This window comes from Homo sapiens, chromosome 12, assembly GCF_000001405.40.
Source record: "Homo sapiens chromosome 12, GRCh38.p14 Primary Assembly".
NCBI lineage: Eukaryota > Metazoa > Chordata > Mammalia > Primates > Hominidae > Homo > Homo sapiens.
In genome coordinates, this window is record NC_000012.12 from 19189352 (window position 1) to 19215681 (window position 26330).

Genomic DNA, 26330 nt, shown 5'->3' on the forward strand with positions numbered 1-26330 from the left:
AAGTGTCAGCAGAGATGGAGGAAGGTAGACCATTTGAAGTGGAGATTTTGCAGATAGACTACATAGGATTTCTTGGGTTAGAAGAGAGGAATAAATTGCAGCCCTGTGATTCATGCAGCTGAGTGGAGAGTTCATGCTTAGAAATGGGAAAAAATATTTGTTCTTTTGGGGGAAAGGGCAGGGGGTCAGGGAGGAGTTGTGGATTGAAGGTGGGAGATCAACAAGAGATTCGTTTTTGGTAGGTTAAGTTTGAGATGGTTGTGGGAAAGCCAATGGAAATTTCAGGCAGGAAGTTTGGTATACCAGTCTGCAACTCAGGAATGGGTTAGGAAAATAAATTTGACTCATATCAACATATTCATGCTATTCAGACCATTAAACAGACTGCTCTCAAGTCTTGTGTAGACCAATGATAAGGACTAGGGTGACATAACTGCTAAAATTTTATTGACATAAATAACTCCTTTCTGAAAAACTAATAAAAATGAGAATGTTGCTTAGAAAAGGGCTCTTTTGAGAACAGCCAGAATTTTCCTTTCATTAGAGCTTTTGTGATTTAATGCCCCCACTTTCTATTCTTGATCTCATTCTAGTGGAATTTGGTTACTTGCTTTTCTGTGCTTTTCCAAAGACATTAATTTGTTTCTTTATTAATTGTTAAAATCTGCTTACAACGTGCGCTTCTTCATTTCCTCCTTGTGTCGTATATTTTAAAAGTTATTATTCAGCTGAGTCTTACTCTTTGAACTCTTACTCTTAGTGTCAGCTTCACTTCACCTTTTGAAAGAAAAAACCCAATCTTGAAATCCTCCTTTATCTTGTTAAAAAGTTTTAGGAAATATTTTGTTATATTTACTGGTAATTATATTTTCAGGGATAGAAATACTGGTTTAAAGCTAGGAAAACTTCCTTATGGATAATAATGCCTTTCTCTTGAAGCATTGCAAACAAGTAAATGAATTATCAGTTGGATAAATATTTCCTTTTTTGGTCTTTCAATTCCCCAAATAATTTCTTTTAAAAAATACTCATTTATTCAGGTTAATGCAAAGCACTGTGCCAGGTGCTGCAAGAGAGAAGGCTGAGAGATAACTGATTGCATTCAAGATGTGTACTACATGTGTGGCCCTCATCATGAAATCAGAGAGCTTTACATGCTGCGCATGAGTGATAACAATCTAAAAGTCTTAGTAGGAAATATAGTTATTGCTTGGACATTCTAGACTTAAAAATTAACCTTGAAAGCCCAGCATATCTAATCATTTCTAGCATGTTGGAGAACTGAAGATGATTCATTTAGCCAGAAATTTCAGTTATCTCAGTGTTATTGCAAGTTCCCTATCTGATCTTCCTCTTTTTGCTTGCCTTACTCTTGTGAGACAACTATTAGGTGTGTTTTAAATGGGTTGTCCCAAAGGAGAAGAGACTTTCCTATTCTCAGCCCTCTCAAGATAAGCAGAACTGAGATTAGGAAAAAAGCAACTGAGCCAGAGCCAATTTTCACAGGAATTTAAAAATATCAGTGTGAAAACAAAATGAGCAGTGAAGCCTAGCTATTTAAAGGGCATGCAAAAGAGAAGTTGGAAAAGGAACATGAGCTGGCAGCTAACTGGACGAGTGTGGTGACTAATTAGTTTCCTATGATGTAAACATATTTGGTATTTTATGTCATTTATTTTAATTTTTTTTGACCATGACTCGCAATAAGAAATAAATATTATTGGATGACCCACTGTCCACTTTATATAATACTAAAATGAAAATACTTTCTTCCCTTTACCACCTATACCTTCTCTTCTGTTTTGTTATTTTAAAGTACTGGTAGCAAACATCCTGTTAACTGCATTTCATTATCTACTAATGGGTCAGACCAAGATTTAAAAACACAGTGCCCTGTGAAACAGTGAGATTTACATGGGCAAGAATGGGAGTGAAGTAGGGATTATTTCTTGCATGTAACTGTGGGTCATAGACCAGTATGTAGAAATCAAACTGTTAATACTTTAATACCCTGACACACAGCTTCCCACACTGAATGCTTTGAGTTAATGTTGAGTGTTGTTGAATGAACAGCCTAGCATCCATCACTACCATGCGGCCTAATTGGTTGTTGTTGTTGTCAGTCTTGTCCCCTAAACTCATCTTATTGCAGTACAGATGATTGTTTTTCAACTGCTGCTGCCAAGAACCAAAATATTCAGTTATACAAAATAAGATACGTTGTAACCTAATTAGATACAGGTATATCAGCTGTTTTCTCAAATCACCTCTAAACATAATGCAATAATCATTTATTAACATTCCCTGTTCCTGTGAGTCAGGAATTCTCAAGCTGCTTGGTTGGGTAGTTCTGGCTCAGGTTCTCTTACGAGGTTGGATGAGCCTTATGAGCTTAAGGCTTTAGTCTCTGCAAGCTTGAAAGCTCATGCTGGAGGATCACGTGTCTGGCAAGTTGATGGTGGGTAGTTGGTTTCTCTGCATAAGGCTGCGTGACCCATGACATGGTGGTTGGCTTTGTCCATAGTGACCAAGCCTAAGAGAGTAAGGTAGAAGCCGCACTGCCATTATGACTTAGCTTTGGGTGTCACTTTTGTCATATTTTATTGGTGAAAAAGGCCAGCCTTGATTCATTGCAGGAGGGGACTATACAAAGGTGTGTATACCCTTGTATAGTCCGTGTATAGGCTGGGGATCACTGAGGGTCATCTTAGAGGCTTGCTACCATACTTTAAAAGGATATCTTTATTAACAATTGACTTGAATTTAAAAAAAATTTTAGTATTTTTATTTTTAATTTTAATGAAGGAAAAAGTAAACATGTAAATGCTTGCTTTATTTTTCAATTTTATAAAAGCAGTTAATTACAGAGAAGTGCTGACATTTCTACTTTTCATAGGAAACTTGGAGAGAAGTCAAAGGTGTAAAAAGGACAAATTTTAGAAAATGAGATTCATGAGGAAAGACTGATTAAGTTCACTTTAGTTAATGAAATGTGGAATTATGAAAAATTAAATATTAAGGAGAACCCTAATGAAATTATAAGAATAGAAAATAATTTACTCTTGGCCTGGCACAGTGGCTCACACCTATAATCCCAGCACTTTGGGAGGCCGAGGCGGGCAGATCACTTGAAGTCAGGAGTTCAAGACCAGCCTGGCCAACATGGTTGAAACCCCGTCTCTACTCAAAATACAAAAAAAATTTAGCCGGGCGTGGTGGCATTCGCCTCTAGTCCCAGCCACTCGGGTGGCTGAGGCAGGAGAATTGCTTGAACCTGGGAGGTGGAAGCGGTTTCATTGAGCCCAGATGGCACCTCTGCAGTGCAGCGTGGGCCACAGAGTCAGACCCTATGTCTCAAAAAATAAAAAAGAAAAGAATTTATTCTTACTAAAATTAGTAAACCTAATCATTAATAAGTGAAATTGATCTAGTAAATAATTGATCAGAGGCATGTGGTACTAAGCTTTTAAGGAGTGATGAGACTATCATAGACATTCTACTTAACTAATACTTTCGATTAGGGGTTAGTAACTGTGGCTGTGGACCAAATCCAGCCTGCTGCCTGTTTTTGTAAATAAAGCTTTGTTGGAATGCAGCCATACTCATTTATGTAATGTCTATGGCTACTTTCTCACTATAGCAAAGTTGATAGTTTTGACAGACTGTTGGGTCCACAAGGCCTGAAATATTTACTATCTGGTCCTGTACAGAATAAATTTGTTGACCCCTGTTTCAGATTTTAGACTTTTACATTGTAGATTAGGTTTTGGAGTGTTTATGAGGTGCATAAATCCAAGGACAGTAGCATGTGAGTCAACTTTAAACATAAGAGGGTGCAATGTTAATGTGGTTTTGATTTTTTAAGAAGGAAAGTCTTAATACTTAGAAGAGGGGCAGAATATAGTAAGATTCACAAGAATGATGCTTCATTAGGTAAGACTTTGTTTATTAAGATAATTTATGAGCTTTCAGTAGACCCCATGTTGGGAACACATGAAGCCAATATTTTAAAAGCAAATAATGTTGGTTAAATTAGGTTCTTGTGAGAAGGCAGTTTAAATTTTTAATCAATTTCTTACTTCAAATGGAAAGTTAGATATGAATTTTATACTTGGACGTTTATTCTGATTTAGAGTTTTGATTTTTTTAATTTGTATATAATCATAGGGTACAAGTGCAGTTTTACTACATTGATATATATTGCATTGTGGTAAAATCAGGGCCTTCAGTGTGCATCTATCACTGGAGCAATGCACGTTGTACCTACCAGAGAGCCTCCCAGCACATCGTACCTACGAAGCAACCTCCTATCATCCACCCTTCTCCTACCCTCCCATCCCTCTGAGTCCCTGTATTAGGCCATTCTTGCATTGCTATAAAGAAATATCTGAGGCTGGATAATTTATAAAGAAAAGAAATTTAATTGGCTCATGGTTCTGCAAGGCTGTGCAAGGATGGTGCTGGCATTTACTCTGCTTCTGGGGAGGCCTTGGGGAGCTTTTACTTATGGCAGAAGGGAAAGTGGGAGCAGGCATGTCACAGAGCCAGAGCAGGAGCTTTAAAAGAAAGAATGGTAGGGAGAGAGGTGCCTCACACTTTTAACAACCAGATCTCATGAGAACTCACTCAGTATTGCTACTACAGCACCAAGCCATGAGGGATCCACCGCCATGACCCAAACACCTCCCACCAGGCCTCACCTCCAACATTGGGGATTGCATTTCAGCATGAGACTGGGGCAGAACAAATATCCAAATCATGTCAGTCGCCATTGTCCTTCATTCCATACTCTGCTTCCATGTGTACACGTTATTTAGTTCCCACTTATAAGTGAGAGCTGCAGTATTTATCTTTCCTGTGTCTGAGTTGTTTCACTTAAGATAATGACCTTCAGTTCCATCCATGTTGCTGCGAAAGAAATGATTTTATTATTTTTTCATGGCCGAATAGTATTCCACTGTGTATATGCACATTTACTTTATCCAGTCCTCCACTGATGGACAGTTAGATTGATTCCGTATCTTTGCTATTGTGAATGGTGCTACAATAAACATACAAGTGCATGTATCTTTATGATATAATGAATTCTTTTCCTTTGGGTAGATATCCAGTAGTGGGATTGCTAGATCACCTGGTAGTTCTATTTCTGGTTTATTGAGAAATCTTCATACTGATTTCCATAGAGGTTGTACAAATTTACATCCCTACCAAGTGATTTTTTTAAATATGAAAGAATGGTCTGGAGAAATGCCCCTCATTAGTATCCCCCTTTTACCTCTCTACTGCAGAATGACTTCAAGGGGTACAGGTATTTACAAGTTTCATTATACAGACAAATTGAATATTGAAATTTCTGCATAAGAGGCACAGATTTTAGGATTCAAAGTTGTATGAACAAGGACAAGTGCTCTAGGGACTTGCAAAGCTGGAATTGGAAATCTCAGATGAAATACATTTCTAGTAGTACCACCAGCATATATTCTACTGAATTGGCTTTGTGATCATCATTAATACCTACTTATTAAAACTAATGAAAAGGGTTTATATCAAATATACTTTAAGGTATAAAAATCAAATTATAGGTAAAGCTGTTTTCTTTAGCATTTTAATTTCAAAACATAAAATAGCTACCGTCTATTGGGCATTTATACTGTACCAGACACTGTGTTTGTCACATTTCAAAAATGTTCTCATGGTAATGTTCACAATAATTCTGTAGGGTGAGAAATAGTCTTACCGTAGTAAGACTATTCAGTAAACGAAACCTCTGAACCTTGGAGTTCAACTTGCGCAAAGTTAGTAACAGGACTAGGACTTGAACCTGAACCATCACACTCCAGATCTCTCCATACCACACTGCTAGCACATGTGCCTGTCATCTTATTCCTGGCTCCTGTTATTTCCCTTTTTATTTCCTTTCCCTTCCTCCCACAACCCCTTTTTCCCCCCATTTCTTTTCTTTCTTTTTAATTGTTAATTACATAACTAATACATGCTTATCAGAACAATTGATATAGCACAAAAGGATATAAAGTACGGGTGAGTGATAGCTCATCCCTGTAATCCTAGCACTTTGGAAGGCCAAGGCAGGCAGATCACTTGAGTCCAGAGTTCGAGACCAGCCTGGGCAACATGGTGAAACCCTGTCTCTACAAAAAAATACAAAAATTTAGCCGGGCGTGCTGGCACACACCTGTAGTCTCAGCTACTCTGAGGGCTGAGGTGGGAAGATTGATTGAGCCCAGGAGGTGGAAGCTGCAGCAGTGCGCTGAGATTGCGCCATTGCACTCCAGCCTGGGTGAGAGAGAGAGACCCTGTCTCAAAAAAAAAAAAAAAAAAAAAAAAGTGAAAGTAGCCTGTATTTAGGCTATTAACATATACCATTCGGTTACCTGCCTTTTAGGTATATATCTATGAGATATATATATATACACATACATACAAAAATAATGTATGTATATCATAGATATCTTCCATGGCAGTGCACACACTTCTACCTATTATTTTTGACAGCTGCATGATGTGTTCCATACTACAGATGAACTTCAATTTGTGAAGCCATTCTCTATTGACTATTCTGTTTACTTTGGCATCTTTCTCTTTGTTGCAATTAAATAACTTTGTTTAATGAGCATCTGGTGTTTGCCTTACCTACACTAATTGAGATGATTGAAGTGTATCTAGTTTCAATTTTCAAAAAGCAATAGTTATGTTTTTTTCCATGACATTGAACAGTATTTTATTGAGTCTGATTTCTTGAATAATATTTTATTTCTACAATGTGAGCTCTCATGAGTCTTTTCTAAACTTTTTGAAAAATCTATCATCTTCCTTTCTCAGTTGTCAACAAAGATTATATTTTATATGTCAGTACTGATTAAGCATTTTTTAAGGATTAACTATTTCAATCAAATGTTTTCAATTAACACATAAAGACAATTTAATAGTAGATTTTTCATAGGTCTTTAGACTGTAAAATCTTGTATATTGTTAAATGCATATAGTGAAAAAATTTGAACCACAAACTGTCAACAAGTAATTTGTAATTTTTCCAATAGAGCATTAAGGTAACTAACATAATTCCTGGTGTTATAAAGAATAAAAAATATCATATCTAGCTAGCAAGAGTGTCTCTTACAAAGCAAGAAGAAAACCTACCCCTATGTGATCTCTTGTTCTGAGCAGGTGTGAATAAAAGAGGGACACTGGCAAAGTAGAAAAAGCATAAGCTCCTTCTAATCCCTTCCTGCCATTTCCTAGCAGAGAAACCCTGTTTTACCTTTCCTCATACACAGTATGAATAGTAAAACCTCTGTGACAATATTCCTGTACAAACAAAAGATTATTAATGTATCCACAACACCCAGAGTGGATCTCAATAAATGGTGGCTGCTATCGTGTTGCTGCCAAAGCTGCTACTCTGGCTTATGAGTTTTTAACTTGTTTTTTCTTTTTTTTTTCTTTTTTTTTTTTTTTTAGAGAAATAGTGATTTTTCTTTTCATGGTTTATAATTGAATGAGAAAATAAAATGAGTTTTTTGGATTCCAGCACTGATTGACCATGTTGACATAATTAAAATTTTCAAATCCTGTTCACTGGCTGTGATAGAGTAAGAATTTAGTTAAATCCCAAGAGCCAACCTGTCCTATTACCTTTAGAAGTGAATATACCTCCTGCCATCTGTACTTCCTCCCCTGCCCTTCTGTAGAGGTAGCTCTCTTCCCCACTGACTCCACACTGCACTTCCAACACTAGGGACCTCTCTGTTCAGATCTTACTTCACTTCCTGGCAGCGTTCAGCATCGTTGAGCCTTAACACCCTTTTCTCCTGACTTCTATGACATCATACCCTTCTGGGTTTCATGCTGCTTTCATGACCATTCCTTTTCTGGCCCTTTTCTCACTGCTGCAATCCTGCTGGTCTCCCATTCAGACCAGTCTCTCATACTGTTCTGGCTATTTTTCAAATATGTCACCAATACTTATTTTGGAAAATGTTATGTATTCCTGCCTCAGGGTCTTAACACTGACCTTTTCCTCTGCCTGTCTTTTTGTTCCCTTTTTGCTCACGTCTCACCTTTTGAATGATGCTTATCCTGACTCCTCTTTAATTTCACTACGGTAACCACACTCCTGAGCCACACTCTGCTTTTTCTTTCATAGCACTTACCACTTTCTAATGTACTACATCGTTTATTGTGTTTGCACTTGTCTTCTCTGATAGAAGCTCCCTGAAGACAAAGATCTGTTTTTCCCAAAGATACACCGAGCATAGGACTAGGCACACAGTTGGCATTGTTGAAGTCACAGAGTCTATCCGGTGCTGTGTGTGTGTGTGTGTGTGTGTGTGTGTGTGTGTGTGTGTGTGTGTGTGTGTGTGTTTAAGTCGCCTCGTTCACTTCCAAGGCTCTTTTTACACCGTATGCCAGTCAGCCATAAATCTTCATCTCCACCTCTTTCCTCATCTCCACATTCACTGACCTCTTCATATAGTGTCTAATATACAGTCAGAGAAAACAACTTTGCTGCCTTGCAGCCATTCTCAATTTTTCTCTTTCCTTCAGTTAACATCACCCCACCTCCCCTCCAGTCTGTCATCAGTGAGCCCTGTTGACACTTCCTCCCCTCCAAAACGTATCCCAAATCTGCTCACTTCTCTCCATCTCTGCCACACCTCTCGTCTTTGCCACCATCATCTTTCACTCAGACAACTGTGGCAGCCTCTTTGCTTTTCCCCTGCTTCTCCGCTCTTGACCCTTTACAATCCATTCTCCACACTAGCTAGATTCATTTTCTTAAAATATAAAAATGTAATTCAGATCTTGTCAATGTCTTCCAGTGGCTTTCCATAGCACTTAGAATAAAATCCAAAGTTCATTATCTGACTTGTAAGTCTAACCCTAGTTGACTTTTCTACTTCTACAGCTGTTTTCCTCTCACCCTACCATACTCTAGTCACAGAGGCCTTCTTTCATCTCAGATATGCCAGGCTTAGAGCCTTTAAACTAACTGTCCACTCTCTCTATCCGGATTTCTTTTCCCCTTTTTGTGACATTAAGTCAGTGCTTAACTGTTGGCCCTCGGGGCTTTTCCTGACAATCCATTCTCTGAGTCACTGAACCTGTCTTAGTTCTTTGCATAACCCTTTTCCACTATCTCATGTAGTCTTTTGTTTATTGAGTTTCATCCCCCATGAGAATATATGCTCCATGAGAGCATAGACCTTTTTACTGCTGTTATGTGTAATACATAGAACAGTGTCTGGTACATAGTTAATGCTTAGTAGATATTTGTGGAATGAATGATTGTGTGAATGAACAAAGGGAGCAGATTTTTTTAATTACAAATTTTTAATACTTAAGATATTAACTATCTGATTAACAATATCCTTAGGCAGAGTGGGAAAAAAAGTGACTATTCTGATTTTGGGGAAAGGAGCGCTAAGAAATATTTATTTTTCTGTCTTTTAGCAGAATGCAGGAATAGTTATCCCCATTTTTTTATTTACATAGTGAAATATTTTTTAAAAATTTTTCTATAAGACCATTACTCAGCAGCAAAATTATTTCATGTATGGTTTTGTTTTTTTGTTTTTCTAGCAAAACATGACAGATTTTCTTATAGTCTAAACATTGTCTATAGCAAAAGACAGCTTGAATGCCAAAATAATGTATAATTAGGTCTATTCATTATCTTGCCATATGCTAAGTAGATGCTAAGGATTTATCACTGCAGTAAAAGTCACTGGATCATTACAGTTATTTTATGGAAATATGTTTTAAAATTTACAATTCTTTTTTGTAAGACAGTAACAAATTATTATGCAGAATTTATACCTCTGCCTAAGACTCTTGCAAATATAAGCTCCTGATTTGGTAGAGATCTTCCTAAAGATTGAATATTTAAAAATCAAAATACTTGTTTTCTTTTTTTGAAAAAATGCCTTCTGTAGATATATCTGGGTGAGAAAGCAATAAAATATAAATAAAAATCTTTTATCAACAACATGTAGTGTCATTACTTCATGACTGATTGTCAGTGTGTTGTACTGAGGAGTGTCACTGGTTTGTCCCAAAGAATGAAGTGGTGGCAGTGATGGCAGCATCTGTTTCTAACTTGTGGTTTATTTCTCATTTTCAAGATCCTGTTGCCACTGGTTTTTCTCCCCAGTGGTTGGTTAAAATTCAGACTTGTTTCATGAATACATGGCAGTGTGATCTTAGGAGCTTGCAGTTGCTCAGTAGCCAACCACACTTAGAAAGTTTGATGTAAATATTTGTACTGCAAGATACTCTTTGTTGAGATACCAAGTCCCAGCAAAAAGTAGCATTAAACCTGAAGACCACAGAAGCCATGGAGGAAAAGCACATTCTACGACTTGAGCTTTTTTTCTGAAGCTGTGTGTAGCTGATTCTATATTTTATTCTCTAAGGTGAAATCTCAAACTTTTTGAAAAGGGTCACTAAAAGAGAATGAAATCATGTCTTTTGCAGCAACATGGATGGAACTGGAGGTCATTAAGTGAAATAAGCCAGGCACAGAAAGACAAACAGCACATGTTCACATTCTTAAGTGGAAGCTAAAAAAATGAATATCATGGAGGTCGACAGTGGAATGATGACAGTATAGGGGGAAGGGGAGCTGGAGAAAGGTTGGTTAGTGGGTACAAACATACAGTTAGATGGAAGGAAGAAGCTCAAATGTTGGATAGCAGAGTAGGGTGACTATAGTTAACAGCAATGTATTAAATGCATTTCTGAATAAATAGCTAGAAGACCTAAAATGTTCCCAACACAGAAAAATGATTAGTACTTGAGGTGATGGATCCCCTCAAATAACCTAACTTGATCATTACACTTTCCATGCAGCAACAAAAGTATCACCCATCCCCCTTAAATATGTATAGATATTATGTACCAATAAAAAAAAATTTAAACATTAAAACAATTTTTTTTATCCTTTATCCTTCCAGCTGAATAGATTTCCTTTTCATTCTTCCTGGGAATAGAAGATGTAATGGAAGTTCCAGTATCTGTATGCAGGCCTATGACTAGCTTCACTTCTTGGTGACTAATACTAGTTGACAAAACAGCATATTCTAAACTGATTGTCTTCGTTATCCAGTAGCTTTCCTATTCTCCATAACAAATGTTCCAAATCTTTGATTACTCACCTCAGAATGCTTGTCTCACTCCTCTTTTCCTCATTCCTAGTAGATCATACCTTGGAGAAGAAAGTAGAAACTATCAGGCCTGAACTTCATTAGCTTTTTCTTCCTCTTCAATCCAAATCTGTCTGTATCTTCATTCATTTTTCTTAACCCTTTCCTTGCTTGCTATTTCTGCTTTCCAAAACCAAGGAAGGAATTTTGACAGAGGTACCCAAGGAATTCACTGGGGGAAAATGAATGATTCAATAAATGATGTTATGATAATTAGATAGATAGCTATATGTAAGCATAAAAAATTTTTAAAACCTTAGGCCCTTATTATCATATCATGCACAAAAATTAAGTGGATTATTGATTTAAATGTAAAAACAAAAAGTATAAAACTTTTAGAAAAAAGAGATTATTTGTGACATTGGGTCTGGCAAAGATTTCTTAGATGCGATTAAAGATTTACAAAAGAAAAAATTGATAAATTAGACTTCATCAAAATTTAGAAATTTTGCTTTATCTGTGTAGGATACTGAAGAGAATGAAAAGACAAGTCACAGACTGGGAGAAAGTACAGGCAAATCACATATTTGTCAAATAACTCATATCCAGAATTTTTAAAGAACTTTTACAACTCAATAATAACAAGACAAACAGCTCAATTTTTTAAATGAGGGAAAAATTTAAATATATTTCACATGAGAATATACTCAAATAGCCAGTGAGCACATGAAAAGATGTTCAGCATCATTAGACATTAGCAAATTGCAAATTAAAACCACACTGAGGAACCCACTAGGAATGGCTATAATCAAAGACGATCAGTATCAAGTATTGCGGAGAATGTGGAGAAACTCAAACTCTGTTACACTAGTAATAGAAATATAAAATGTTAGAACCACTTTGGAAAGAGATTGGCAGTTTCTGGAAAAAATTAATTGTAAATTTGACCAAGCAATTTTACTACGTAAGTATGTTAAGAATGAAAACGTGTGCACACAAAGATCTGTACTAAAATGTTGATAGCATTATTCATAACAGCCTAACAGTGCAAATGTCTGTCAACTACTGTGAATGGAGAGACAAAATGTGTTTATTAATACAATAAAACTACCCAGCAATAAAAAGAAATAATTGACTGATAAATGGTATACGATGACTGAACTTTAAAACCTTGATGCTGCCTAAAAGAGCCAGACACAGACTACACATTGTATAATTCCATTTTTATGAATTTCCCAGAAAGGCAAATTATAGAGACAAAACAAATCAGTGGTTGCCTAGGGCTGGTGGTGGACGTGGAGATTGACTGTAAATGGGACATGAGGGAATTTTTTTGTGGTGATAGAAATGTTATAAAACTAGATGTGGTAATAGTTGCACAACTCTGTAAATTCACTAAAAGTCACTGAACTGTACACTTAACCATAGGTGGGTTTAATGAAATGTGAATTACACTGCAATAAAACTAAATAAAAGCTGAGTTAGTACCACTTGCCTTGGGTTCATTACTTTTTGTTCGTTCTTAATTATTCCCTTCACAGTTACTCCCCACTCTTCCCCTACCTTTTTCCATATTTCTTTACTCTTGAAAATTATTTTCAGTAGTTTTGCCTGCTGAGTTCACTGCCTTTTAGGTCACATTTAGACCTTGGGTTTCTATTACCACAAAAAAATTCCAAAATCTGGGTCCAAATTTCAACTCTATTCACTTATCTGTGTGACACTGGAGAAGCCTCTGAGTCTCTGTGTCCAGATTTGTTTACCAGGTAGAATATTAATAAGATCTATTATGTGAGGATTTGTGAATATTAAATGAAATCATATATATGAGACATTCCGTAAGTGCTAGCTGTCATTCATCACCTTAAAACAAGACTCATAAGTTGAAAGGCTGTGAACTGGTGAGCATCTAGAGCAGTGGTTCTTAATCAGAGCAAACTCAAAATTTAGGGAGGTTTTACAGACTGGCTCCACTGACAGGTCAGGTTGAAAGGTTTCTGGACCCTGAGAGTATGTGTGTGTGTGTTCTCCAGCTTCACAAATGGTTCTGCTATAACCCAATGGTAAACAAAACAACAACAGATTGCAGTGTTAAGACTCAGCCCGTAGAATGTACAAACGCCAATTGTGAACCCTAACAAACTCCAATTGTGAACCCTAACAAACTGTGGTCTCTGGGTGATAATGATGTGATAATGATAATTGCCGTATAAGGCTCATGTATTCATTTCCAGTCTTGCTCCTCTCATTCCCTCCCTTTGGTTAGGTATCAGATGGAAGGCAGATACGTTTAAGTCATGAGCGAGATCCACCCATCCTCATGTATCAGTTACAAATGCACTGTCCTACCTGCGTTAGGACAAATGCACTAAAACTGTATAAAGTCTTCAGAGGATATTCAGTTGTCATAGAAGTGAGTTATATCTTTGGTTGAGTTTTTAAACATTCATTCTTACTGGGGTAGTATTTGGGAAACATTGTATCAGGTTTTGCTGGTAGAGAAAGGGTAAATCAGTAAGTTAAAGAATAAGTGATATATAAGGATTTAAAAAAGAAGGCCTCAAGTTTAAAGGATATATGTAATTACAAGATGATCTCAATTTTAAATCAGAACACTTAAGTTGGATGTATAGGAGACAGGAAATGCATGTTAGAGAGCAATTTAGTGGTATGGAGGAATTCATAAAGTGAATTTGAAATGAGTAAGTACTATGCCGGTGTGACTGGAATTACCACCTCTTTACCTGTCCTCATTTACCTGTTTTTCTGTCTGTCTCTTAGAGTTGACTCCCTCACTCTTCCATTATCCAGGGTATAGAACACTTCTTGCCATCTGCTTCCAGATTCCATCCCAGAATAATTAGTTTTTATCTCTTTCTTTCTTCCCATTGTTGACAGCCGTCACTTTCTAGTATTCGCATTGTCAATACAAGTTCTCCAGTCTCCACACCACCAGTTCCCAGGTCCTCCACTGTGCCATATCTCAGCCTTGACCTGGCTGTTTCCTCCTCTTTCTCTCTCCTGTCTAGTCTAGATCCTTAGTATTCACCTGGGCATTTCAGAAAGTTCACCCCTCTCACAAAGACTACTAATTGCCTTCCTTCAAATGCTTTCTCTCTTTTCTCTAAACTCTCAAGAACACTAAAGCACCTGTCTTTTGCTGTAATACTTAGATTAGTTATATGTATATGTACTCTTGCCTAGTCTTTCCTATCAGTTGAACTCTTTTAAAAGCAGAGATAGTTGTACTCATTTTTGTTTCCATTGTGTATTGCAGCGTACCGTGACTCATATATAACCTGTTCTCAAATAATACTTAGAGATCACAGTTAGATTTTTTATTTGTTTCTTTTTAGTGAAGAATTTTCACTTTCTCATTTAGGAATCATAGAGCTTTCTTTGAGTACTGTAGGTAACTTACTCTTTCTACAGAACTACCGCACCCCCATACATACAGTACTTAGAGACACAAAACATATGCGTATTGACACATTTTAATTTTTGCGACCTTTTGATAACCTTGTCCCAGGAAGGGCCTTATCTTAGCTGTTTCCATGGGATGGCTATTTCCTATGTCTTCTTACCTTCCCACACCCTCCATGTTAAGAGGCAGGAGGGTAGAGGATTGTGAGGCTACTGTTCTCAAAAATGAGACATTTATATAGAAGGGTGATTTACAATAGGGAAGTAATAGAGGTGACCAGGAAGGGTTGGGAAGAAGGGAAAAGCACTAATTAGCATATGGGTACATTTAAAGATGGGTCAGCCCCACTCTGTCAGTGACTTGCTGTCGTGAGCTTGGTGCATGTCAAGTGTTCAAACACTTCCTATTTTTGCTCATCTACCCAAGGTGAAAGTGGAAAGTAGATATGAAAGAGTTGTCTGGCTGGTTTTAGTGGGGCTGTACTAGATCTGGATTTATGGAGGAAAATTAAAATGGAGCAGAGGAGAAAACTTCTTGACCATATTTTCATCATCCCAGACTAATGGCCATTGCAGCAATTTACTTAACAAACTAGGTGAATTATGTATTTGATGGCATAAACATGCATACACAGAATATTTTGCTGATTTTTGTGCCATTTTTATAAAACTTTTTCTCAAACTTGCAACATTATTTAAAAATTTTTGTATAGGTTTGTCAATATTTGGGTGATGTATGATCTATAAATCAATTATTTAATATGTAAACAACAGATAAGAAAAATCCTATCACTGTAGTTTGAAGATAGCAAACATTTTAATAAATACATTGAACATTTCAGTTTATTAGTCTTTATTAATATTTCCAAAGGAGAAGTTAAAATACCACTGCATAGTTTTCAGATTGTTTTACTTGGTGAACAGGCAAGAGAACAGAATAAGAGATTGAAAAGTGAAATAAGGATAGTTTATAGTTTGTTTAATTTATCACTGGTCCCATTTACATTTTGGGATCACATCTTGGATGTTTTGCAACTTCCAATTCATTCTAGCATTTTGGGATTCTTATGTTGACATAGTTAATTCTATATTGAAACCTAAGGACTTGTTATTTAATAAACTTGTAGAAATAATCATTTCCAGTTAAATGAACCACAAAGATTATGAAGTTAAAAACAAATCAGTTATCATTTGGTAGTTCTGTATAGTTTATTGTCAGTTAATGATCTTTATTAAATTTGCAGCTTTCTCAGTTTATTTGCATGTAGGTCATCATATGCTGAGATGAAATACCAAGTCATTTAAATTAGATACTGAGCATGCTCATATGAAGTACTTACTCTTGGAGACTGCGGTGTGGTTCAGTTTTCTTATAGTGGAAAGAGCAGAAAAGAGATCACGGTGTGCCCCTTTGTCATCGTTCTGTCAGGAAGCATGTAATTTGTCTTTAGAAACCAGAAGCCTGAGACAAAGAAAAGAACACAGATTTTTAGCAAAAGGCTATTTGGTGAGTTAATTGGCTGTTTTGTTCTATTTTGCTCTAATCGGTCAGTTATTCCTAGCTAGTCTATGTATTTACTTATATCTGCTGCTTTTTTGTACTGTGCTGAAGCTTTATGTAGCAAGCAACTTAGCCGAGATGGGGAGAAAATTGTTTCTGCAGTCTAAATCTTATTCTTCTGAAATATTTCCAGTACATTTCTGAGGTGACAAGTTCATAAATTGCTATGATGATACTTTCTCATGTTCTCCACAAATTTTCTTGCTGACTTGTTTTGAATAATGCTGGCGGAATTATGTGCCGAGATACTTCAGGATTTGTTTTTTTGGACAGTATAGCATTTTTGTTCTTACATCTTAATGAAATTACAATTTTTGCTTTCACATTTCTATATTGTATCTACCAAAGTAATAGGTAAGACCCAGTTTGCATAAGATCAAAAATTCTTTAAAGAAAATGATAGGGTATATTACAGTAATATGTACACATATTATTAAAAAGGTCGTTTAAAAATGAAAGTTTGCTGTGTAATACAGTTGATCATATAAACTATTCTAAAATAAAATGAAATTGACAACATTTTGTAAAATAAAAGGTGTTACAGTTATTCTGTATTCATATTTAGAATTCTATCTTTATTTACTGATTAGCTACAGAAGAGTTGCATGATAATAGTTTTGCCAGTTTAGGCTGTTACTTTCTCTGAGCTCATATTATGGTGATCAATAGGAAGATAATCTTATTTAAATGTTTTGTGATTTTTTTTTAAATCCAAAGTGTTCATGTTTTACCATGAAGTTAAAGGGCGATATTTTTATGCGTTTTCTCCATATTATGCTCTTATAATATTATGTAATATTTAAAATCTATACATTGTTATTTTCATGATGAACACAATTTTGATTATGTATTTATAATAGGTGAACTTGGCAACCAAATATTCAGAGTCTTCTCCTGGAGATTAAAATAGCATTACTCTGCTAGAGATAAACCATTATATGTTTTGATGATTTGAAGAAAAAGCATAAAATTACCATATTTATTTCCTTCGGGGAAAATCATGTTTGTTAGTACACATAAATGTCAGGTAGGGAATTTGAGGCTATAAGGTGCTTTAAAGAGGTCTAGAAAAATGATGTGGGGGGTGGGAACGATAGGAAGAGACTACTGAAAGCTTAGTACCTTCAAATGCCAGGCAATTATGTGAGGCTTTCCTGAAATATCTTTATTTTGTGAACTTCCCCCACTATGCCATTTTCCAGGATTGGCACATATGAAGGAGGTGGGTGTATACTTAAGTTTATATATTCATGAAAAGGGAGGGTTAGCGTTTAGAGATGAGGACTGGGTGACAGGACTCAAGAAATCTATTCCCACTTCTTTATACTGACTCACTTGTTTGACCTTGCACATGATGCATACCTTGTTTATTTCTACTTACTTTTAGTGTAATACTTTACCATGGCAATAAAGTGGTTCATTTATAGTTTCTAAAGCAATAAAATTATTTCACAGACTGTGACAAAGATTCATGAGGGGATAAGTCATTCGCTAATAGCCATTGTGGGAAGAAAACAAACAAGTATTGCTTTTCCGAATTCTATTAAATTTTTTTCAACTAAAATATTTCAAGTGTATAAAATCTATAAAGTCCTCTGTAGTCTTTGAAACTAATCTCAGAAATACATATTCTATGTGTATTATGTAATGGTGACAGATGTGGTTTTAACTTCTTTCTCATATTCACTGTAAACTTGATGATCACAAAATTTTCATGGCAAGATTGTATTATTATACTATTTTATACTATTTTCTCTTATTTTTTTAGTCCCAGATACCTCTAATCATAAGTCTTCATAGATCAATAGAAGAGAAATAATGAATAGAAGATCTATGAAAGAAAAGTGTGGAGAAATACTGGGAAAATGAAAGAAGAATACAGAAAGAAAAATTACCAATGGCAAGGGTGTCTTTGCCAGGTTTCTAGATATTAAGCATATACCTATCTATCTTATTGATTTCCAAATCATTACATTCATCTGCTCATTTAACTTAACATCTACCCATTAAGGAACACTTATTTCCTTAATTTTGATGAATCTCAGTAGTGCTTAAAGATCCTAAGTAGTGGTAGATGAAAATGGGTTTTGTGGTCAAGTACGTTTGGGGAATAATAGACCATAAAGGATTGTTCATAGCAGAACTTCTTGCCCTTTAATATCTTATTCAGAACCTTACCCTGGAACTTAATTTTTTCTGGCATATGGTTTACTTTTAAAAGGAAAAACTGTAATATATAATATTAAACATTTGGCAAGCATTTCAGTAATTGTAACTATGAATTTCTATATTAAAATATCTGGATAAGTGAAGGAAAAATTGTCAGTTTGCTTTTTATCTTCTATTTTGTAATCTTAGAATTACACGGTAATGAGAAGTAAAATGTATAATTAGTAGATAAGGTGATTGTAATAGTTATATAAGTTAAAATGGCATTTTTGAAAGCCACTAGGAGTGTAGTCAATGACTACTACATGAAATATTTATAATAAAATAGTAACCAAGTAAAGACTTTGATAATTCTCACAAGTTTCGACTCATTCTCTACTCTAGAGAACCTACTCTCATACTCTAAAGAACCTAGCATGGTGTTAGTCACAAAGTAGGCATTCAATAAATGTTTATCTAGGCCAGGTGTGGTGGCTCACACCTGTAATCCTAGCACTTTGGGAGGCCTAGATGGGTGGATCACCTGAGGTCAAGAGTTCGAGACCAGCCTGGCCAACATGGTGAAACCCTGTCTCTACTAAAAAATACAAAAATTAGCTGGCATGGTGGAAGGCGCCTATAATCCCAGCTACTCAGGAGGCTGAGGAGGAGAATCGCTTGAACCCAGGAGTCGGAGGTTGCAGTGAACCGATATCATGCCATTGCACCCCAGCCTGGGCAACAGAGCAAAAACTCTGTCTCAAAAAAAAAAAAAAGTTCATTTTTTCACTCGAATTTAAACCTTCTGCCTCTTCATTGAAACACATCATACTCATGGACGTAGAATACCTGTTGTCTGCTCCATTGGCCCAGCCACCTACTTTAGGGGACTTTTTCTTAAATTGTATTTTGAAAAATTGATAGTTGGATTTGGTTTCCAGCTAAGCTCTCATTTTTTGGCACTCCTGTGAAATTTGAAACCTAATTTAAATAGCAGTTTTCTTTGCTGTAACCTAATGACTAATACATGTTCTCAAATCATTGTTTATTCTAAAAAGAGAGGATACAAATATTAACAGATCTAGGGGCAAGACTTCCTATTCTTAGCTACTTAAGAGCCTGAGATGGGCTAGTTGCTTGATCCCAGGGTACTCTGCAGATCGAATGTTGGCCTCAAATATTTGACATCAATATGATTGTCCCTGAGAATGGAGATAGATTGAGTTTCCATTAAGATTAGTGTAAAATTGATATTTTGGTAGTTTAGTAGCCATATTTTTCTCAAAATAAAGTACTAGAAATTGAATATGCAATTCAGAGAGAAATAGTGAAAAATATGAGGGGACTTCAAAAATTCATGGAAAATGGATATTGTGATAAAACTATGCATGGATTTAATAAATTTTTTTACACCAAAATAAGCCTGTATGAATGTGTTATAGCAAGTCTGAACAGGACCTAGTTTGAGGCACTAAGAAGGATAAGACATCAGCTTGAAAAGAACTCCTATCAGAGCAACATGAATTCTGCTAAAATTGAAGGAAGAATAAACATCAAATTTATGGTAAAGCTTGGGTGGAAGGATGGTGAAATCATTGATGATTCACAAAAAGTTTATGGGGACAACACTCCAAAGAAATCAGCAGTTTACAAATGGATAACTCATTTTAGGAAGGGACAAGACAATGTTAGAGATGAAGCTTGCACCAACAGACTATCCACATCAGTTTTCAAGGAAAAAATAAATCTTGTTCATGCCCTAATTGAAGACTGACAGTTAACAGCAGAAATAGGAGGCACCACCATAGACCGCTTGATTGATTCAGTATACACAAATCTGACTGAAAAATTAGTTGAGCAAACTTTCCACTCAGTGAGTGCCAAAACTGTTGCACCCAGATTAGCTCCAGAGAAGAGCAGAGCTTCCAGTGGAAATTTTAAACAAGTGGGATCAAGATCCTGAAGCATTTCTTTGAAGAATTGTAGCAGAAGATGAAATATGGCTTTACCAGTATGGTCCTGAAAACAAAGTACAATCAAAGCAGTGGCTACCAAGAGGTGGAAGTGGTTTAGTCAAAGCAAAAGTGAACTGGCCAAGACCAAAGATCACAGCAACGATTTTGAAAGATGCTCAAGGCATTTTCCTTGTTGACTTTCTCAAGGGCCAAGGAACAATAACATCTGCTTATGAGAGTTTTGAGAAAGTTAGTCAAAGCTTTAGTAGAAATGTCTGGGAAGTCATCTTCACAGAGTTCCTCTCCACCACAACAATGCTCCTGCTCATTCCTCTCATCAAACAAAGGAATTTTGTGAGAGTTTCTGTGGGAAGTCATGGGGCATACATCTCATCATCCTGTTTTGGCTTCTTCTGACTTCTTGTTTCCTAATGTTAAAAAAATCTTTAACGGATGTCCATTTGTATTCAGTTAATAACGTGAAAAAGACTACATTGACATGGTTAAATTCTTAGGGCTCTCAGTTATTTAGGGATGGACTAAATGGCTGATATTCTCATTTACGAAAGTGTTTTAACCTTAATGGAGTTTTTGTTAAGGATTAGTTTATAATATTTATCTTTTCTTTCATTTTTCCACAGACGTTTTGAAGTCCCCTGATACATCTTAGTAAAATGTTACAAATATTCAGAGATTTTTATTTCTGACATTTTTAAAAGTATAAGTTCAAAATCTACTTTGTAAAGGTAACAAAGACTGTAAATCCAGAACAGAGGACCTGTGACTTATTAATACAAATGGAACTTTTCCCATTAGTTGTCATTTAACATGAATGATTTCCGGTGGAAGAGTTCTGGATTTTAGGAATTGGAATCTTCTCCCATTCTTCTTGATGTCTGGTGTACAGCTTGTCTGCTGTCTAGCACACATCTTTGGGTTATTTTCCATTCCAGATGAGCTATGATTTTTTATGCATAATTTTTTGGAGCTATACATTTTCCTTGAGAATAAATATCTGAAATTATAGTTTAAGTCAATAAGAAAGTATGATTTTTAAGTATATATCAGAAACATATTTTCCCTTTGAGGTCACATTGTCAGAGGCAGGAAAGGAAGAAGTGCAGCAGTTAATATCTAGCCAGCAAAATTTATCTGGGAGATGGATTACTAAGGTTAATAAGAAGTAGAAATTATAGAGCAAAGGATGTGAATGTTGGGAGACTTAATCAGTGTATATGTTTCCTGATTGGTCAGAGACATTGTCATTTTCACTGCCTTTTCTCCACTTTCTAAAGAGTTGATAAGGAAACAATTTTTTTTTTTATATTTGAAGAGTTGATCTATTTATAAATTTTAACAATGACATTCAATAGAGTTACTGCTGTAAATCTAGACATTAACATGAAACTTAGCCGTGTATTTTAAGGCTTAAGGAGGTATTGTCTAGGGTTTATGGAGGACTATTACATTATATTCTTTTTCTTGTTTTTAATACTTAAAAATTATGAAATAATTAATGTAAAAAATTACAGATATACCAAAGATATGAATAAGATAGAGAGTTGCCCCTACACTTTGTTCTTTGGTTTTATAACACATACCCTGCCCCCACCAAGTTGAATAATACTCCCCCACTTCAGAGTGTGTACTGATAATATTCTGATCCCAGAACCTGTGAAGGCTACTTTCTGTGGCAAATACTTAGCAGATGTGATTAAATTAAGGACTTTGAGATGAGGTTTTCCTTGATCTTGGTGGGGAGGGCGGTGGCGAATGCAGTCACAAGTGTCCTTAGAAGGGGAGGTGGGCAGAGGGAAATTTCAGAGAGCAGCGTGACTCCTGAGGCAGAGATGGAGTGATGGGACCACAAGCCAAGGCATGCAGAAGCTGGAAGAGGCGACCATGAACTTATTCTCCTTTACGGCCTATGGAATCCCTCTCAACACCTTAATATCTGCCCATTAAAACTGATTTTGGCATGAATTCTGGCCTCTAGAGCTGAAAGAAAATAAATTTCTATTTTAAGTCAATAGAAGATATCAAATGACCTAGTCACAAAAAAAATTTATTTTAAAGATCTTAATTGGCTTTTATTTGCAATTCTAGAATCAGATGAGACCTCATCCTATAAAACAGAATGAGTGTTGTGATGAGCTGAGCAGAGGAGGTTGGTTTTATTGACAGAAAAGGGCTGAAGAAAGCCGAAACAGAGAACAAAAAGCAGTTTGGTTGTTTTAAAGTTACTTACCTTTTTTAAAGTTTAAAGCAGGAGGTACTGCCTTATCATGCCAGCTAAAATTGGCCTGCTTGGGGATTTGGCTGTTATCTCCATTCCTCTCCCGATTTCTTGGAAGGTCAGATAAACAACTTGGTTTTGGCTTGGTGGTGTGAACTTCAGCATGAGTAACTCCATTTTGGTTTGGTCTGTTGAGCCTAGTGCAGGAGCTCAGTCCAAACCAATGAACTTCTATAAATTTTATTTAACGGAGGCTTGTATTAGTTTCCAATGACTACTGTAACAAATTACCACAACATTGGTGACTTTGGTAATTCAGTCACATCTGCTAAGTCTTTGTCACAGTTGGGATCACGTGGAATAATCGCTTGAACCCAGGAGGTGAAGGTTGCAGTGAGCTGAGGCGACGGCCACTGCCCTCCAGCCTGGGAGACAGAGCGAGATTCCATCTTAAATTTAAACATGGGGCAGCTATCAACCAAAGTCAAAAGAGAAACAAAAATATAAGGCATCTGTTAAAACATTACTTTCAAGTAAATGTAAGCAGGTTTTGAAAAATTAATTGGCTGCGTGTGGTGGCCCACGCCTGTAATCCCAACACTCAGAGGCCGAGGCGGGCTGATCACCTGAGGCCAGGAGTTCAAGACCAGTCTGGCCAACATGGTGATATCTCATCTCTGCTTAAAATACAAAAATTAGCCAGGCATGGTGGCGGGTGCCTGTAATCCCAGCTACTCCGGAGGCGGAGACACAAGAATTGCTTGAACCCAGGAGGCAGACAGGGCAAAACCCTGTCTCGAATAAAAGAAAAAAAGAAAAAGAAAAATTAATCCATGCTCATTAGTTTAGCTTTAATCTTAAATATTTATAACTTTTGAAATGTTGCATGACCAGTATGTTCATAAATTCATCAAACATATCCTCACAGCATCTACAGGGAAGATATCATTCCCATTTCAGAAAGAGGAAAACATGATGAGAGTGGGTTTTTTTTTGTTGTTTTTTTTTTTTTTTTAATTTCAGGCTCCCGGAGACTGTAAGTGGCAGAGTTAGAATTTAAGCCCAGATCTATGTAACTCCAAAATTCTTAATCTCTAAACTGAAGAATTGTTTTCAGTCTTGTTCCAGTACCTATACTAGATTTCCAAGAATTCAGACAACTCCTAATCTACCACATAGGGGAAATAGGGTCTATAAGAATATCATTTATGTCAGATAGTGAAACAAACATGAGATTATTTACACATTCCAGACCCAGGTGACCTAAATCTTCAAAGAAGGTGACTGATCCCTTTGGAGCAGGTGCTGCGTACAGTGAGAGAGAAGTATGTGTATTGTGTGCAGCGGCATGGATGGGGAACGATTTCTTCTGCCCAAGGATATGAGGGTGTGGGTGGCTTCTCAGAGCAGATTATGTCTGTGTTGGGTTTTGAAGGATGAATAGGCATTTGCTAAGCATGGTTTCTTTGAAAAAAAAAAATTGCTAAGCAGAAAAGCAGGGATGTGTGGCACTCTAGACAAGAGTGAACAGCAAGACCAAAAGATTATAGATGTCTTCAAGGAACAGGTCCTTCAGTGCTGCTAGAGTATTCAATGTGAGGTGCTTGGGGGCAGGGAGCACAGGCAGATGAGGAAGGCAGATCTGAAAAGCCTTGTATGCCATGCTAAGGAGCATAGACAATCCTGCAGGCTTTGGTGAGGGTCATTTTTAAGGGTTTCAGTAGGGGAGCAGAACAGGACAAATTGCATATTAGAGAAACTTGCAGCAGTGTGGAGGACAAATTGAAGGAGGAGGAGATAGGGCATAGATTCCTTAATGTTTGAAATAGTACAGTTGAAAATGGGACAAGGATTTTAAACTGTGGCAGTGGAAATAGAGATAGATCAATACAACGTAAGTTAAGGAGATGGAATGTTAGGTTTGATGAACTGGGATGGCAGGTAGCGAATGTGAGAGGGAGAACTGTTCTCTCTGGCATTTGAATTGTGTTTGAGATGAGACATTTTCAGGGGAAAAACAGGTTTAACTGGGAATGAAGATTGGACCTTTTAAGTTTGAAATGTAGATAGGATATTCTTTTTGTTGAGAAGCAAAAATTGGATATAGGGCTGTACACAACAAAATAATAATAATTATGATAATACTAATATTATCAGAGCAATAGATTTAGAATGTAAAGGTTTAGTTAAAACATCAATATTGTTATTGAATGATAAGGTTAATAAGGAATGGATTGAACCACTTAAGGATGGAGTGTGTAAAATGAAGTAGGTTTGGAGGTAGAACCATAAAAGAAACAAATGTCTAGCTGCTGTGTAAAGGAATGCTAATTCAGCAGAGCAGACCTAGCAGAAGTGATTAGCATAAAAGAACCAGAGGACTGAGATTAGGAAAACCAGGAGAGGGGAGTGTTAACTGTCTCAGGTGCTACACATCAGTCCTTTGAGATGCGGACCAAGAAGCACCTTTTGACTTTGTCAGTTAAAGAGACATCAGTGACCTTTGCTGAGGCAATAGGGAGAATAGAATTAAGATTACAGTTAATGGAGGAGGGAAAGAGGTGGGAGGGAGGAAGTGAGAAGTACAAATAGCCTTTTTGACTGAGAAGGAAAAGAGAAATTCAACAACATCAAAGAATGGGAGTGACTAAAGTGTGTTTTTCAGCTGGTACATAGGAGCCAGTAGAGAGAAAAGGTTGAAGATGGAGGGAAGAGAAGAACCAGTTGTTAGGACAAGGTGCCAGGGATGTTGGGAAGAAAACAGATCCAGCGACATATGATGGAGGGTGGACTTAACTACCCTAAGATTTGAGGGCAACAAATATTTGCTTGGGGCATGGGAGTGATTAGGATGGTGGCTTAAGGAGAGTGACAAAAATTTTAGAATAGCTGCTAAAGGGAGAATGAAAGCAAATGAAAGAGTTGTCTGCCAGATGGTGTTAAGAGCCCATCTGAAAGTGAAAACCATGAATTGTTCATCACATCATTCAATCTGCATGGGTAGATGCTGCCTTTCATTTGAAAGCAGCATATTTCTTTCCTTAAAAAAAAAAAAAATTGGCTGGGTGCGGTGGCTCATGCCTGTAATCCCAGCACTTTGGGAGGCCGAGGTGGGCGGATCACCTGAGGTCAGGAGTTCGAGGCCATCCTGGCCAACATGGTGAAACCCCGTTTCTACTAAAAATAAAAAATTAGCTGGGTGTGGTGGCGCATGCCTGTAATCCCAGCTACTCCAGAGGCTGAGGCAGGAGAATCACTTGAACCTGAGAGGCAGAGGTTGCAGTGAGCTGAGATGGTGCCACTGCACTCCATCCTGGAAGACAGAGTGAGATTCCGTCTCAAAAAAAAAAAATTGCTCTAAAATGTATCTGCTTACTAAAAACTATTTCTTCTTTTGCACTACTTGGAACTTCCTTGTCAGTTTAAGCTGGTTTAGGTTAGCCAGCTAGCCAAAAGTTTTTTTTTAAATGTAAAATATAAAAATATGTTATGAGTTATAAATAATATGGAAGCTATAATAGAATCCAGACGCTGAGTAACTATTTATTGAGTGTTTAGTGCTTTCTAGCATGCAGAAATGGCCAGGGAAATATGTCCTCTGACATGTTAACAGCTAACATTTTATCCTCATGTGTGTGGAGGTAAGGGGCGTTGCATATAGTAGTTTGGATAACAGCATCCCCTGTCACTTCAAGTTATACTTTTTAAAAATTGTAAAGCATTCTTATATTTGAAATCATATAATCATATTCTTCTGAGAACATTTCATAAAATAAGCCATATAAAGAGCCCTGTTCTACTCTGAGACCCCTTTAAAAATTTTAGCAGTTTTAAATTTAGTCTCA

At 36.6% G+C, this 26330-nt stretch overlaps 1 protein-coding gene across 50 annotated transcripts in view, besides 1 other annotated feature; it reads left to right on the top strand.

The window, feature by feature from the left end:
• Nucleotides 1–26330, top strand: part of PLEKHA5 (pleckstrin homology domain containing A5) — a 246668-nt gene that overhangs the window by 59619 nt on the left and 160719 nt on the right. For 9 of the 50 annotated variants that reach the window (NM_001385933.1, NM_001385939.1, NM_001385941.1 and 6 more), the window contains exon 1: nucleotides 15949–16092. The exons of 39 other annotated variants lie outside the window; for them this stretch is intronic. Coding sequence is in view for 2 of the 11 variants with exons in the window: in XM_017019502.2 (XP_016874991.1) it covers nucleotides 17915–17930 (16 nt within the window). In the remaining 9 variants the exon portion in view is untranslated. Of the gene's footprint in view, nucleotides 1–10973; nucleotides 12653–15948; nucleotides 16093–17914; nucleotides 18466–26330 lie in introns of those variants that run through there. 2 more of the 50 variants (XM_017019502.2, NM_001190860.3) reach the window with 2 other exon arrangements.
• Nucleotides 8198–8698: an enhancer, noted in NCBI's record as "H3K27ac hESC enhancer chr12:19350483-19350983 (GRCh37/hg19 assembly coordinates)". NCBI's record gives its function as "activates a minimal SCP1, AML or CMV promoter by ChIP-STARR-seq in naive H9 embryonic stem cells {active_cell/tissue: H9 hESC(naive)}" and the evidence as "EXISTENCE:reporter gene assay evidence [ECO:0000049][PMID:30033119]".